This window comes from Homo sapiens, chromosome 9 (assembly GCF_000001405.40).
Source record: "Homo sapiens chromosome 9, GRCh38.p14 Primary Assembly".
NCBI classification, from domain to species: Eukaryota; Metazoa; Chordata; class Mammalia; order Primates; family Hominidae; genus Homo; species Homo sapiens.
Genome location: NC_000009.12, coordinates 120,506,657 through 120,519,589, shown reverse-complemented (window position 1 = coordinate 120,519,589; position 12,933 = coordinate 120,506,657). Strand labels below are relative to the sequence as shown.

At 41.5% G+C, this 12,933-nt stretch overlaps 1 protein-coding gene across 18 annotated transcripts in view; it reads left to right on the top strand.

Moving 5' to 3' along the window:
- Positions 1–12,933, top strand: part of CDK5RAP2 (CDK5 regulatory subunit associated protein 2) — a 191,293-nt gene that overhangs the window by 60,578 nt on the left and 117,782 nt on the right. For 17 of the 18 annotated variants that reach the window (NR_073558.2, NR_073554.2, NR_073555.2 and 14 more), the window contains one exon: positions 945–1,163. Coding sequence is in view for 13 of the 18 variants with exons in the window: in NM_001272039.2 (NP_001258968.1) it covers positions 945–1,163 (219 nt within the window). In the remaining 5 variants the exon portion in view is untranslated. Of the gene's footprint in view, positions 1–944; positions 1,164–1,703; positions 1,834–12,933 lie in introns of all 18 variants that reach the window. The other variant, NR_073556.2, reaches the window with a different exon arrangement.

Here is a 12,933-nt window from a genome sequence, read left to right as displayed (position 1 = left end):
ATTTTTTGTGTAGGATTGCGGTGGCCTTTGTGCAAGGTTGTGGTTTTTACAGAGTCTTTTGTGATAGTTTTTGTTCTGAGGCATTTATGCCTGAGTAATCTGTCTTCATATACCCGAATCTATTTGTCAAGGTTGTTTTGTTTTGGTTTTATTTTTATTTTTTTAAAGACAAATGAGTCCATTCTGATTCTGACAACTTTCACATTTTCAAATGAAGGTCTTCATTTTCTACCATTCAAAAATGACTTAAATTGTTTTTTAAACCATTATTAAAGTAACATGCTCACTTACCTTAGAACATTTGAAAATACAGAGTTATGACAAAAAAAAGTAACTATAGTCCCACCCAACTAAAGACAGTTACTGTGAAAATTTGTGCTTTTCTTTCTTTTTTCTTTTTTTCTTTTTTTTTTTTTGAGACGGAGTCTCGCTCTGTCACCCAGGCTGGAGTGCAGTGGTACGATCTCGGCTCACTGCAACCTCCGCCTCCGGGTTCATGCAGTTCTCTGCCTCAGCCTTCCCGAGTAGCTGGGACTACAGGCACCCACCTCCACGCCTGGCTAATTTTTGTATTTTTAGTAGAGACGGGGTTTCACCGTGTTGGCCAGGCTAGTCTTGAACTCCTGACCTCATGATCCATCTGCCTCAGCCTCCCAAAGTGCTGGGATTACAGGTGTGAGCCACTGTGCCCAGCTGAGAATTTGTGCTTTTTTTCTGGTCCTTTAAGAAAATACTTCTTTCATACAACCATCCACATCATAAGAAACATTATCTTATGTTATTCCAAAATCTTCCTATTATTTTTGCTTTGGTTTCTGAATGTTGTCTATGTTAATCTTTTTCTTTTCTTTTTTTCCCCCACGGCGAAAAAGAGCCCAGGTTTCTTGGTTTGTTTCATGAGGTATGAAAATTAGCTCATCTTGCTTCTCTGCCTTCTCTTCTAGGGGTCTGAAGACTATGAGACTGCTCTATCAGGAAAGGAAGCCCTTTCGGCTGCGCTGCGCTCACAAAACCTCACCAAGAGTACAGAGAACCACAGACTGCGTAGAAGCATTAAGAAGATCACCCAGGAGCTGAGTGACTTGCAGCAGGAGAGGGAGAGACTGGAGAAGGACCTGGAGGAAGCCCATCGAGAGAAGAGCAAAGGAGACTGCACCATCCGTGTGAGTACCGCCCTGCCCTTCTGACACAGTGGACAGTGCTTTTGGGGCTATGTGGCTGTGTCTGGTTGTAGGGTGATATTCAGTACAGAAGACTTAAGAAAATATTTCACTTATTATCTCAGTACCTAGAAATGACCAGCTTCATTTGATCTATTTGGTATTTCAGTCCTTTTATTCTCCTCGCTCTCTCTCTCTCTCTCTCTCTCTCTCTCTCTCACACACACACACACACACACACACACACACACACACACACACACAGAGTTGTTATCGAGTTGAAAATACAGTTTTGTATCGTGCTTTTTTAAGTTTAATGTTCTCTCTCTGGTTTGTTGCCATGTCATGAATGTTCTTCAAAAACAATTTTTTTTGTGCCAGCATAATATTTCATCACTTGGATGTATTACAGTTTATTTAACTAGTTCTTTTTTGAACGGCATTTAGATTATTTTACTTTTTTTTTGCCTTATGACTTCTGCAGCAAACATCCTTGTACATAAATATTTATCCACTGATTCTTTGTTGTTTTTTTTGAGACAGGGTCTCACTCTGTTTCCTGGGCTGTTCCTGAACTCCTGGGCTCAAGTGATCCTCCCACCTCAGTTTCTTGAGTAGCTGGGATTATAGGCACATGCCACCATGCCCACCTCACTGATTGTTCCTGATAGAGGTATAATAACTGGGCCAAAGAGTATGAATATTTTAAGGACTGTTGTATAGATATATTCAAATTGTTCTGCAGAAAGATTATATCAGGTTTCTCTAGGTGATCTTTTTTATGACTGTACTCTATTTAGCATTGGGTATTAGCATTTAAAAATCCTCTCTGAATTTGGTAGACTTATTAAATTTCAATTATACTTAAATATTCAGTGTCTTTTAATTTAATCCCTCCTGAGAGTCACATCCAGATACGTAGCCTTGTTGCAATCAGGTAGGATTGGGGTCTGGGTCTGAGTGATCATTGCCATGAAGGTTAATTGAATTGTCTGCCTGAGATCCTGGGCCAGGCAGTCATTAGAGTAGAGGACTCAAAAGAGTACCAGTGGTTAGTTCTCTGGTGGCTGCTGCTGATAGGGACACCAGGATCCGGAAGGTGAAATCCCAGTGTTAACACTGAAGAAAGAATTGAAATGCAAATGTTTGTATATTTTAATAAAATTTTAACAAACATTAATGGATCAATAAAGAAAACCTAGAAAAACTAGAAAATGGTAGCTATAATTCCACTACCCTAGCAAAGTAACTCTTACTGATTTTCTGTACTATCGTTCAGTCCTGATGCCCCTGGGCTCCTGGTCTAATCAGAGGCTAAATACTGTTCTGTCTTTGATCACTTAGTCTGTCATAGGCACCATCTCATGGTGTAGGCTCCAGAACGATCATGTTGAATTATGATGCATACCCTTTCACTGAATAGATTTCACATGATTTACTTAATAATCTCCTTTGTTGGACATTTTGGCTATTTAAATAATGACACAATGAACATCTTTTGACATAAGGATATTTTCTCTTGAAATCCCTAGGATAGATCCTGAGGAGTGAGATTACTGGGTCAGATAGTGCCTATGTATATATGTACATACATATTTTTTGGGACAGAGTTTCACAGTGTTGCCTAGACTGGAGTGCGGTGGCATGCTCATAACTCACTGCAGCCTCAAATTCCTGGGCTCAAGGGATCCTACTGCCTCACCCTCCTGTGTAGCTGGGACTTTGGGTGGATGCCAACATGCCCAGCTAATTTAATTTTTATTTTTTGTGGAGACAGGGTCTGGCTGTGTTGCCCAGGCTGGTCTCAAATTCCTGGTCTCCAGTGATCTTCACATCTTGGCCTCTGAAAGTGCTGGGATTACAGGTGTGAGACACTGCACCTAGCCAAAATTTTTTATTTTTTATTTTTTATTATTATACTTTAAGTTTTAGGGTACATGTGCACAATGTGCAGGTTTGTTACATATGTATACATGTGCCATGTTGGTGTACTGTACCCATTAACTTGTCATTTAGCATTAGGTATATCTCCTAATGCTGTCCCTCCCCCCTCCCCCCACCCCACAACAGTCCCCGGAGTGTGATGTTCCCCTTCCTGTGTCCATGTGTTCTCGCTATTCAATTCCCACCTATCAGTGAGAACATCTGGTGTTTGGTTTTTTGTCCTTGCAATAGTTTGCTGAGAATGATGATTTCCAGTTTCATCCATGTATCTACAAAGCACATGAACTCATCCTTTTTTATGGCTGCATAGTATTCCATGGTGTATATGTGCCACATTTTCTTAATCCAGTCTATCATTGTTGGACATTTGGGTTGGTTCCAAGTCTTTGCTGTTGTGAATAGTGCCGAAATAAACATACGTGTGCATGTGTCTTTATAGCAGCATGATTTATAGTCCTTTGGGTATATACCCAGTAATGGGATTGCTGGGTCAAATGGTATTTCTAGTTCTAGATCCCTGAGGAATCGCCACACTGACTGCCACAATGGTTGAACTAGTTTACAGTCCCAACAGTGTAAAAGTGTTCCTATTTCTCCACATCCTCTCCAGCACCTGTTGTTTCCTGACTTTTTAATGATCGCCATTCTAACTGGTGTGAGGTGGTATCTCATTGTGGTTTTGATTTGCATTTATCTGATGGCCAGTGATGATGAGCATTTTTTCATGTGTTTTTTGGCTGCATAAATGTCTTCTTTTGAGAAGTGTCTGTTCATATCCTTCGCCCACTTTTTGATGGGGTTGGCACCTGGCCAATATTTTATACTGGTTAATTATGTTGCCAAATTGTTTGTCCAAAAGGCTGGCCCATTTTATGCTGCCACCAGCAATGTTAGAGTGCACTAGTTTATTGCATGTTATTAAAAGACCTGTTTCTCATCTTTATTCAGTGTTATTGAACACAAAATGTATCTGGTTTAGATACTGATGGAATTACAATACGTAACTCCTGAAAGTTTTATTTTTCTAAGGGAGATGAAAATGTTATACAAGACAAAATGCAAAACAATTTAAAATCCACAGTTAATTAATATAACCTGTACTCAATGCAAAAGATCCTGTGTGATGTGGTAGTCAGGGAAATCTTCTAAGAGGGGCTGACACTTGAGAATGAAAGGGGTGAGATTTGAGTAGTGTGACTTTATATAGATGAGGTAAAGAAAAGGCTGGCCAGAGGGTCCATTTATAGAGCTGCATGTTTCATAGTCAATTCTTGTATCTTTCACTATTAGATGACCTTTTTTTTTAGTTTAAAACAATTATCCCTCATCCCTTACTGCCATTATAATGTTTGTTTGGTAAAATTTGGATGGCCGAGGATGAGGGGGTGATACACACACACACTCTGTCTCTCTCTCTCTCTCTCTGTCTCTCTCGATAATATATAATATGTAGTTTTTTTATATCATAACTTAGTCTTTGTAATCATTTGAAATTGCTGTATAACATTACATCAAGCGTATATACTGTAATTTTCTTAGGTATACCTCTGTTGTTAGACATTATTTGTTGGTTTCATAATTTACTTATTCATGTAAACTCTGGTGCTTCTAGAAGAATTTTGGGCTGCTGTGGATAAAAAGATGTATTGCTACATAACATGTATACGTCTTCATATGGAGGTATTTGGGAAGGAGTGGAAGGGGACTATGATGGCAATAGGGCAGGGATTGGGGTGAGTATACTATGGGTAGGACTTTCTTGTGAGTGGTAGAAACCTAGCTTGAACTAAGTTTGGCAGAAAGGGAACTTGATTGCCTTGTGTAACTAAACTGCTGGAAGGACGGGGCACTGGAACACTACCAGGAGCAGACTCTCTCTCTGAGAGCTGGCTTCTTTTTCTTGCATCCATACTACAGTTCCAAGTGGCTGGACTCATTGCCAGCCACGCTGGGATCACATCTTCCCGATTTACTGCAGAAGAGGAAGAAGAACTCCCACACTTTGCTGCCCTGGCTGGTTTCTTGTCAGGATGGCCAGACGGGTGATGTACTGAGAATCCCAATTTGGGTCACATGCTTATTGTGCCTTGGCAGAAGGGTGTGTGTGTGTGTGCGTGTGTATAACATCATTGGCAGCCTCCCTAGAACCACATGTTTGGAAGGGGATGAGCGGGTACCCAGAAAAAGTGGTATTTTGTTTCAGGGCACTGGGCAGACCAAAAGCAGCTGTATACTCTAAGTGCTGTCCTCAGGTGAACATGCCAGTGACTCAGGCTTCCTGGCATCTCATCGTGACTACCTTTACACATCAAGTTACATACATGTTTCCAACAAGATGATTTGGCCGTGGTTTCCTTTTTTTGCACAGATGTTGCATCACAGTTGTATCTCTAGTTAACTTTTGCTTATAGTCTATGAATTTGATGTGTCCATCTCACATGACTGTTTTATACCAGGTCTTGGAAGTACTGGCTTACTCAGAGCCTGAGGAAACATGGTGGGGTGGTGTCTTTGCATTATGGTGCTAGGATAAATGTACAGGTGGAGCATAACACACTAGCCTTGCATAGCTTACCAGCTTGTTTCTGGTAACTAGGCTCCTTATTTAACTGGAGTGCCTCCTACTCACCAGCTGCTACAGGTGTTGCTTTTGGATTGAAACAGACAGAAAAACCTAGACCTTTTAGTGGTCTCTGTTTCTGTCCTGGCAAAAGAAAGGAATCCATTCATACATTCAGCAACATTGAACACTTTGTGCAAGCCCTCTACTAGACAAGGAGAAAATTCCATAATAGAGACATGAAGAAACAACCACAGGAGCACAGAGAAAGGAAGTGGCTTGCAGGACCAGAGCAGGCTCCTGGGGAAAGTAACTTTTGAACTGGTTCTGAAGTTTGAGCTAGAGGTTAATAGATAGGCAAGGGAGAGGAAGGTTTTGTATAGAAGGCTAAGGTTTAGAGGTGGGAGAGGGTATGGTGATTTTGGGGAAGAAGAGTTTGGGGCTGCAGTAAAGGGTGGTTCCTCTAGGGATGTGTCAGGAGATTAACCCGAGAGAAGTTGGCTTGTGGAGAGCCTTGGATGCAGTTTGGGAGCCTGGACTTGAGGTGTAGGCAGGGGGCCCCTGGTGGGGTAGGGTTGGCTATGCCAGTCAGAGGATTGACAGGATCAGATTTGCAGTTTAGAAAGACTAGTCTGATGGATGTCTAGAGGATGGATTGCTGAGGGAAAGCCAGGAAACAAGATGGGAAAAGGCTTTTCCTTAACATGTAAGTCAGGCTCTGAGAGGTCAGGGTTATAGGGGAAAAAGAAAAGGAACCTGTTTCTCTGTAATGGGGATGCTCAGGTGTAGCTTCTGGGGCTTGACTTGGTGCGTATTCAATGCTTCATCCACGAGGACTCTAGGATGTTCAGCTTTGGGTCCCTCTCATGTTTACTCAAATTTTGCTGCATCCCACAGGTAGGATAAAGAAAACGTTGGTAAGAACAATGTCCAAAATACAGGTCTTGTTCTCAATTCACATTCAGCTCAATCCTCATTGTCCTCTTTGGTAATGAAAACTGCTATTCAGAGTGGTAGAAATAAAGCAGGTATGATCCTCAGGTGTAGATTGTACTTTACAGTTTACAAAGATTGCCTGTGTGCCCGCGTGATGCTCCCAGCCCTGGGTTTGGGCATAGAAAATGTTTTTCCCATTTTACAGATTAATCTGTGCCTCAGAATTTACACTGCTCAGCCGTCGTTACATAGAAGGTGATATATATGTGACATGGATTCAGGTCTATGGACTCTATCTAATTTCAGGACTTTGCTAAGATACTACGCTGTTGCTATGCCAAACCGTCAGTAATTATGTTGAGAATACTGTGCTTTTGGCAGAAAGGAAGATTGGTATATTTTCAGCTTTTCAACAGACCAGAATAATACATTCTCAAGAACACCCAACTTGAAGTATTCTGGCTAATTGAAGCTGTAAACATTGTAATTTGTTCCTTTTTGTGTTTCAGAAATACTTGCAGAGGTTTATAGAAAGTCATAAGATTAAATGAAATTAAAAATAAAGGCTTTAGGGTTCAGGAAAAATAAAAGTGACTAGCAAAATGGAAGTAGAGTGAGTATTTTAATTAATTAATTCATTTGAGACAGGGTCTCACTCTGTCACTCAGGCTGTTGTGTAGTGGCACGATCCTAGCTCACTGCAGCCTTAAACCTTCAGGCTCAAGTAATCCTCCTGACTCAGCCTCCTGAGTAGCTGGGACTATAGACATGCACTACCACACCTGGCTAATTTGTTAAATTTTTGTAGAGAAAGGGTTTTGCTATGTTGCCCAGACTGGTCTTGAATTCCTGGCCTCAGGCAATCCTTCTACCTTGGCCTCCCAAAGTGTTAGGATTATAGGTGTGAGCCACTGCCCGTGGCCCAGAGTGAGTATATAAAAATGCACATTGTGGCCGGGCGCGGTGGCTCACGCCTGTAATCCCAGCACTTTGGGAGGCCGAGGTGGGTGGATCACCTGAGGTGAGGAGTTGAAGACCAGCCTGGTCGACATGGTGAAATCCTGTATCGACTAAAAATACAAAAATTAGCTGGGTGTGGTGGCAGACACCTGTAGTCCCAGCTACTTGGGAGGCTGAGGCAGGAGAATCACGTGAACCTGGGAGGCAGAGGTTTCAGTGAGCTGAGATCGTGCCACTACACTCCAGCCTGGGCGACAGAGCGAGACTGTCTCAAAAAAAAAAAAAAAAAAAAAAGCATGTTGTGATATCCTTCACAGTGCTAAAGAGGGGGACTTACAATTCAACTGGTAGCTCCTGGCAGGGAAAGCAAAAAGAGAAAATCAGTTACAAGGTCTGCAGTGTCTGTAAGATGAACATGTCAAGTAAAAGGACAGCTTTTGCTGGCACTGAGGCCCAAGGAAAGAATTGCCTCTGGTGAGCTTTTATAAAGAGTACTTTGAGCAGTTTATAGCATCTTCAACAATACCCCATTCAACAAAAGCAATTCTGCATGGGGCCAGATCAATGTTATCCAAGTCAGTAAGCTTGAAAGTAGAAGCTTTTCAGTCCCTGGGACTATATCTAGCTGTTTCCCATTATTCTCTTTTCTTGGACAAGAACTACAAAATCAGTTAGAAATGCTGCAGCCCTGTTTTACAGATGAGCCCTGACCTAAATCCTATGTACAGGATCCAGATCAAGCAGTCCTGGTTTTTGTAGCGTTCTTGAATTTTGATGGTAAGCCAACCATTACTCTTGGATATGATCAAACCATCCTTTGCTCATGCCAACAACATTTATTGCCAGTCTCATTGTGCCTCTTCTTTAGCATTTTGTAGGGAGGCAATTCTTCTGCTGAAAATTGAGCTTGGATCAGAGGCTTATGAATTCACTGTGTCTCATTGTGCACGAACACTGAGAAGTTGAGCCCCGAGAGTCAGTTCTCCATGTTTGTTTGTTTTAATTGCCTGTGATTGCAGTGACCTAGTGCCGGTTGACTCAGCATGTGTTGTAATTTGCAGTTTTTTATTTATTCAACACATTTATTGAGTACTTGTAATGATATTGTTAGGCTCTGATGAATACAAGCTTTGGTTTTTACTTTGGTAGTCTTATTTACAGTGAAGAAGGTGAAAAAGTGAGGATCACAGATAGGTCCCCTGTATTGTAGTATACCTCCCTGCTGCCAAAGGGGCCCATATCCCTTGAAGGAAACTCAGGAGACCTTTGCAAAAACAAACAAAAAACCCAGTGTTCCCAAGTCTATGCCCTAACTGGGATGTTTAAAGTGTCCTACTCTTGAGGTTGGTAACAGGGATGCTGCTTGGATCCTCACATCTCTGCCTTCATACATCTGAGTTTGATACATTGTCAGAGCCCAGAAACCTGGGCTCTCCTTTTAGTGTGTGTGAGTGTGCACATGTGCATGAATGTGTGTGTTTGGTGAAGGGTGAGGGAAATCTTTATTTTAGGTGCACTCTCTCTGGTTCAGGCGCTTGGTATTCTACTCAGGGTGGGTGTGGGAGAGAAGCAAGCTAAGGTTTTTTTGTTCTCCTTTATAAGCAACATATATTAGACATTGCCTTGGCCATATTCCCCAGACTATTTCAGAATGCTTTCATCTGTTATGAGACCCGTCATCCGCTACCCTGACAAGTGTGTGCTTCAGTACCTGGGCCCTTAGCTCTGTGGGGATGCATTTGCTGGCTAAAGCCCAAAAATCTAATTAAAGTCGTACCGGTCACCCAGCTGGCTAATCCCATGTGCTTTGACAGGAGTGGGTTTAATTTCAGGGTAGTTCAGCCTGAACCTCCCAGTTCTCACATGTACTCATTGATGGATATCTCCAAATGAGATTGTGACAGCATTTAGAACATCTCTTGGTAAATCAGAATCAAAACATGGCATTTGGAGACAGTGTCTCTACAGGCTGGTTGGTTAGGGCTAAGACCACAGATCTGAGGTACTATATTTTTTACTAATGGCCAAAGCTCCTCTTGCCCTAAAAAAAAATGTATATATATGTGTGTGTGTGTGTGTGTATTAGGTGTGAAAGTTTTGAGTTGGTCTCTTTATAGAATAATGTGCAGTTTAAATGACCTATGTTGGAAGAAGCCTGAAGCCAGAAACACGAGTCAAACTGGTTTGGAGTCCTGGCTCCATTACTTACTAGTTGTTGAACTGTGAACCAGCAAGTTTGCCTCTTCGAACCATAGTATGCCCATTTCTTATCAGAATAATAGCGATTAGTTGTTAGGTTTATCTGAGAGAGGGAGTGACACTTAGCATAATACTTGACACATCATAAATGAGCAATAATTGGTAGCTATTTTGATGATGATGCCTTGGCCTCGGGCACTAGAAACGTAGCAATTTCAGTGGCCATCTTTGGAATAGTGGAAAATAGTTCTCAACTTGGGTTGCAATCTCAGCTTCACTTACAAGTGCTTAACTTCTAAGCCAACAGCTTAAACTCATTAAACTTATGTTCACTCCCCTAAAGTGGGGTTGATGATATCTATTTTAGGATTAAACAAATGAATAGTAAAATGTAATGTGTGAGAAAATGCCTACCGTGGTTCCTGGCACAGAGAAGTTGATGCTCAGTGTATCCGATTCCTTCTTTTCTTTCCTGTTTTCCTGCTTTTAATTGTGTGGCAGGTGCTGGCTCAGGACTTTGAATGACAAACCATCACCTGCTAGAATCTACCAGACGGTGTTGATTAATAAATGTTGTCTGCCCTTTTACCAGCCAAGTCACCAAAGCTATAAATTTCTTCCTTGATCAATAGTAACCTCTCCTCTGAAGAAAGTGCTTGTCTGTTCCTTTCCAGCTGATTGATCCCTATAAGAAGGGAGTCGGAGCGCTCTGCTATTGAGAAACTCTGGAGAATCTCAGTGGCTCATACCTGGGGCTGCTGTTAAAGCTGTTTTAAAAGGCTGTCCCCAACAGTTTTTATATGGAATTGCTGTAATCTCCATGGGGCACAAACAGGGAGACTTTCCCTTATGTCACCCTCTCATTTTATCATTTCTGTGCCAGGCTCTGTCCTGGGCACTAGGAGTACAGGACCGAATAAAATCATACACAGTCTCTGAAGGAATCTAGTGAAGAAATAGCATAGAAATACAAAGAGCTAATTAAAATATAGCATGATAAGTCCTGATAGTGGAATGGACCGAATGCTTTGGAAGCACAAAGAATGGAACTGTGCTAATAGACCAGAGAGGGAGGGAGGGAAGGCTTCACAGAGGAAGTGGATTTGAGCTGAGACTTGAAGGATAGGTAGCTGTTTGCCTGGGGGAATGGGAGGTGGGAATGCATTCCTGGTAGCAGGAAGGCCTGTGCCAAGGTTTGGGGTCCATGAATGAGCCTGGCTCATGGGGAACAGTGAGTGGGGCTGGAGAAGGGGGCAACTGGTGAAAGCTACATCAAGCCCTTTGCTCAGAACTTGTGCAGTCATCACAGCTAGCACCATACTGTTAGGTGAGGCACATGTTTGTTAGTTCTGTATGCCAAGGACTGTTTCATTCTGGTGGCCTCTAAGTTTTTTTCCCCCAGCATATGAATTATTTGTTTGAATGAACTGTTATGGAGAGAAAACACAGAAGTGGAGCTGCTCAGGGTGAAGTGAGGTAGGAGGCCTGGCACCCACCTCCACACATCATCTGTTTCCGCCACAGCCTGCAGGAGCAATGAGGCTCCACAAAACGTGGCTTGAACAGTGCTCTCACCTACTAATTCTGGAAATTCTCCTTACATCACAGAGTATCTCTTCCTCATTAAGATTGTGGAGAAATTTCCTTTGTATATTTAAAGGTAACCACTGAGCACTTTGACAAGCTTTCTCGCAGTGAAACCTGATAAGGTGGAAATTTGATGGATGAGAACCTTCTCATTCTCCATCTGGCCAGAGATAAAACAAAACTAGCTGGCTGGAGGAGGAAGTGTGAGGGCTTGGCTTTTCATTTCTAATGTGATTCTAAGATTTTAGAACATGTTATTTTTCAAACAATCCACTATATATATATATATATATATATATATTTTTTTTTTTTTTTTTTTTTTTTTTTTTTTTTAATCAGCCAGTCTGCTCTAAGAGAACCCTGCCATGCAGAGGCAGCTCTCAGCCCAGTGCTGGTCCAGAGTGCACCTGTGAATCTTAAGGGAAAATTGCCCATTAGTGTAGAAATTGAGGCCATTAGTTGACATCATCATACAGGTCTTGCTGTGGCAGCACTAACTTTAAATCAAGGCAGTAGTCTGGTGTAGGATAGGGTTCTTTTTTTTCCTGTGTAAACCCTTTGTTCAGAAGCAAATAAAACAGATGCACCCGGGGGGCTCTGCAGATTCCTTAGGATGGTGGCTTTTTTTATTGAAATAAAATATAATTTTCTGTGGTCTTCCCTAAGCTACTGAGTCAATTTCTAGAGGAAGGCCCAAGAACATGTAGTTAGAGGGTACTGATATCCAACCAGGTTTGGGTATTCCTAATCCTAGAGCTTCTTGGATTTGGCTTGTAAAACCACTGGTAGAGTAAAAAGAATGCAGGTAGACCTGGTTTCAAATCCTGCTTCTACTATTTTTTACCTATGTTGCTTTGGTTAAGTTGCTTGAAGTCTTTGAACTTCAGTTTTCTGATTGGTAAAATGGGTATAATTAAGGTACAGACGTCCCTCAGGAGATATTAGGGATTGGAATAAAGCGAGTCTTACGAATTTTTTGGTTTTCCAGTGAATATAAAAGTTATGTTAACACTATACTGTGGCCTATTATGTGTGCAACAGCATTACATCTAAAATAACAACATACATACCTGAATTAAAAATACTGCCAGAAATACTAATGATCATCAGAACCTTCAGCTAGTTGTAATCTTTCTTGGTGGAAGGTCTTGCCTCAATGTTAATGGCTGCTGACTGATCAGGGTGGTGGTTGCTGCAAGAATGAAGTTTGCCACGTTGATTAACTCTTCCTTTCACAAAATATTTCTCTATGGCATGTAATGCTGTTTGTAGCATTTTACCCACAGTAGAACTTCTTTCAAAACTGGAGTCAGTCCTCTCAAACCCTGCTACTGCTTTATCAACTAAGTTTACATAATATTCTAAGTCTTTTGTTGTCATTTCAACAATGTTCACAGCATCTTGAGATGGAGAAGTTTCCATCTCAACAAACTACTTTCTTTGCCCATTCATAAGAAGTAATTCCGTATCTGTTCAAGCTTTATCATGAGATTGCAGCAATTCAGTCACATCTTTAGACCCCACTTCTAGTTCTCTTGCTATTTCCACCACATTAGCAGTGAAGTAAAGTCTTGAATCCCTCAAAGT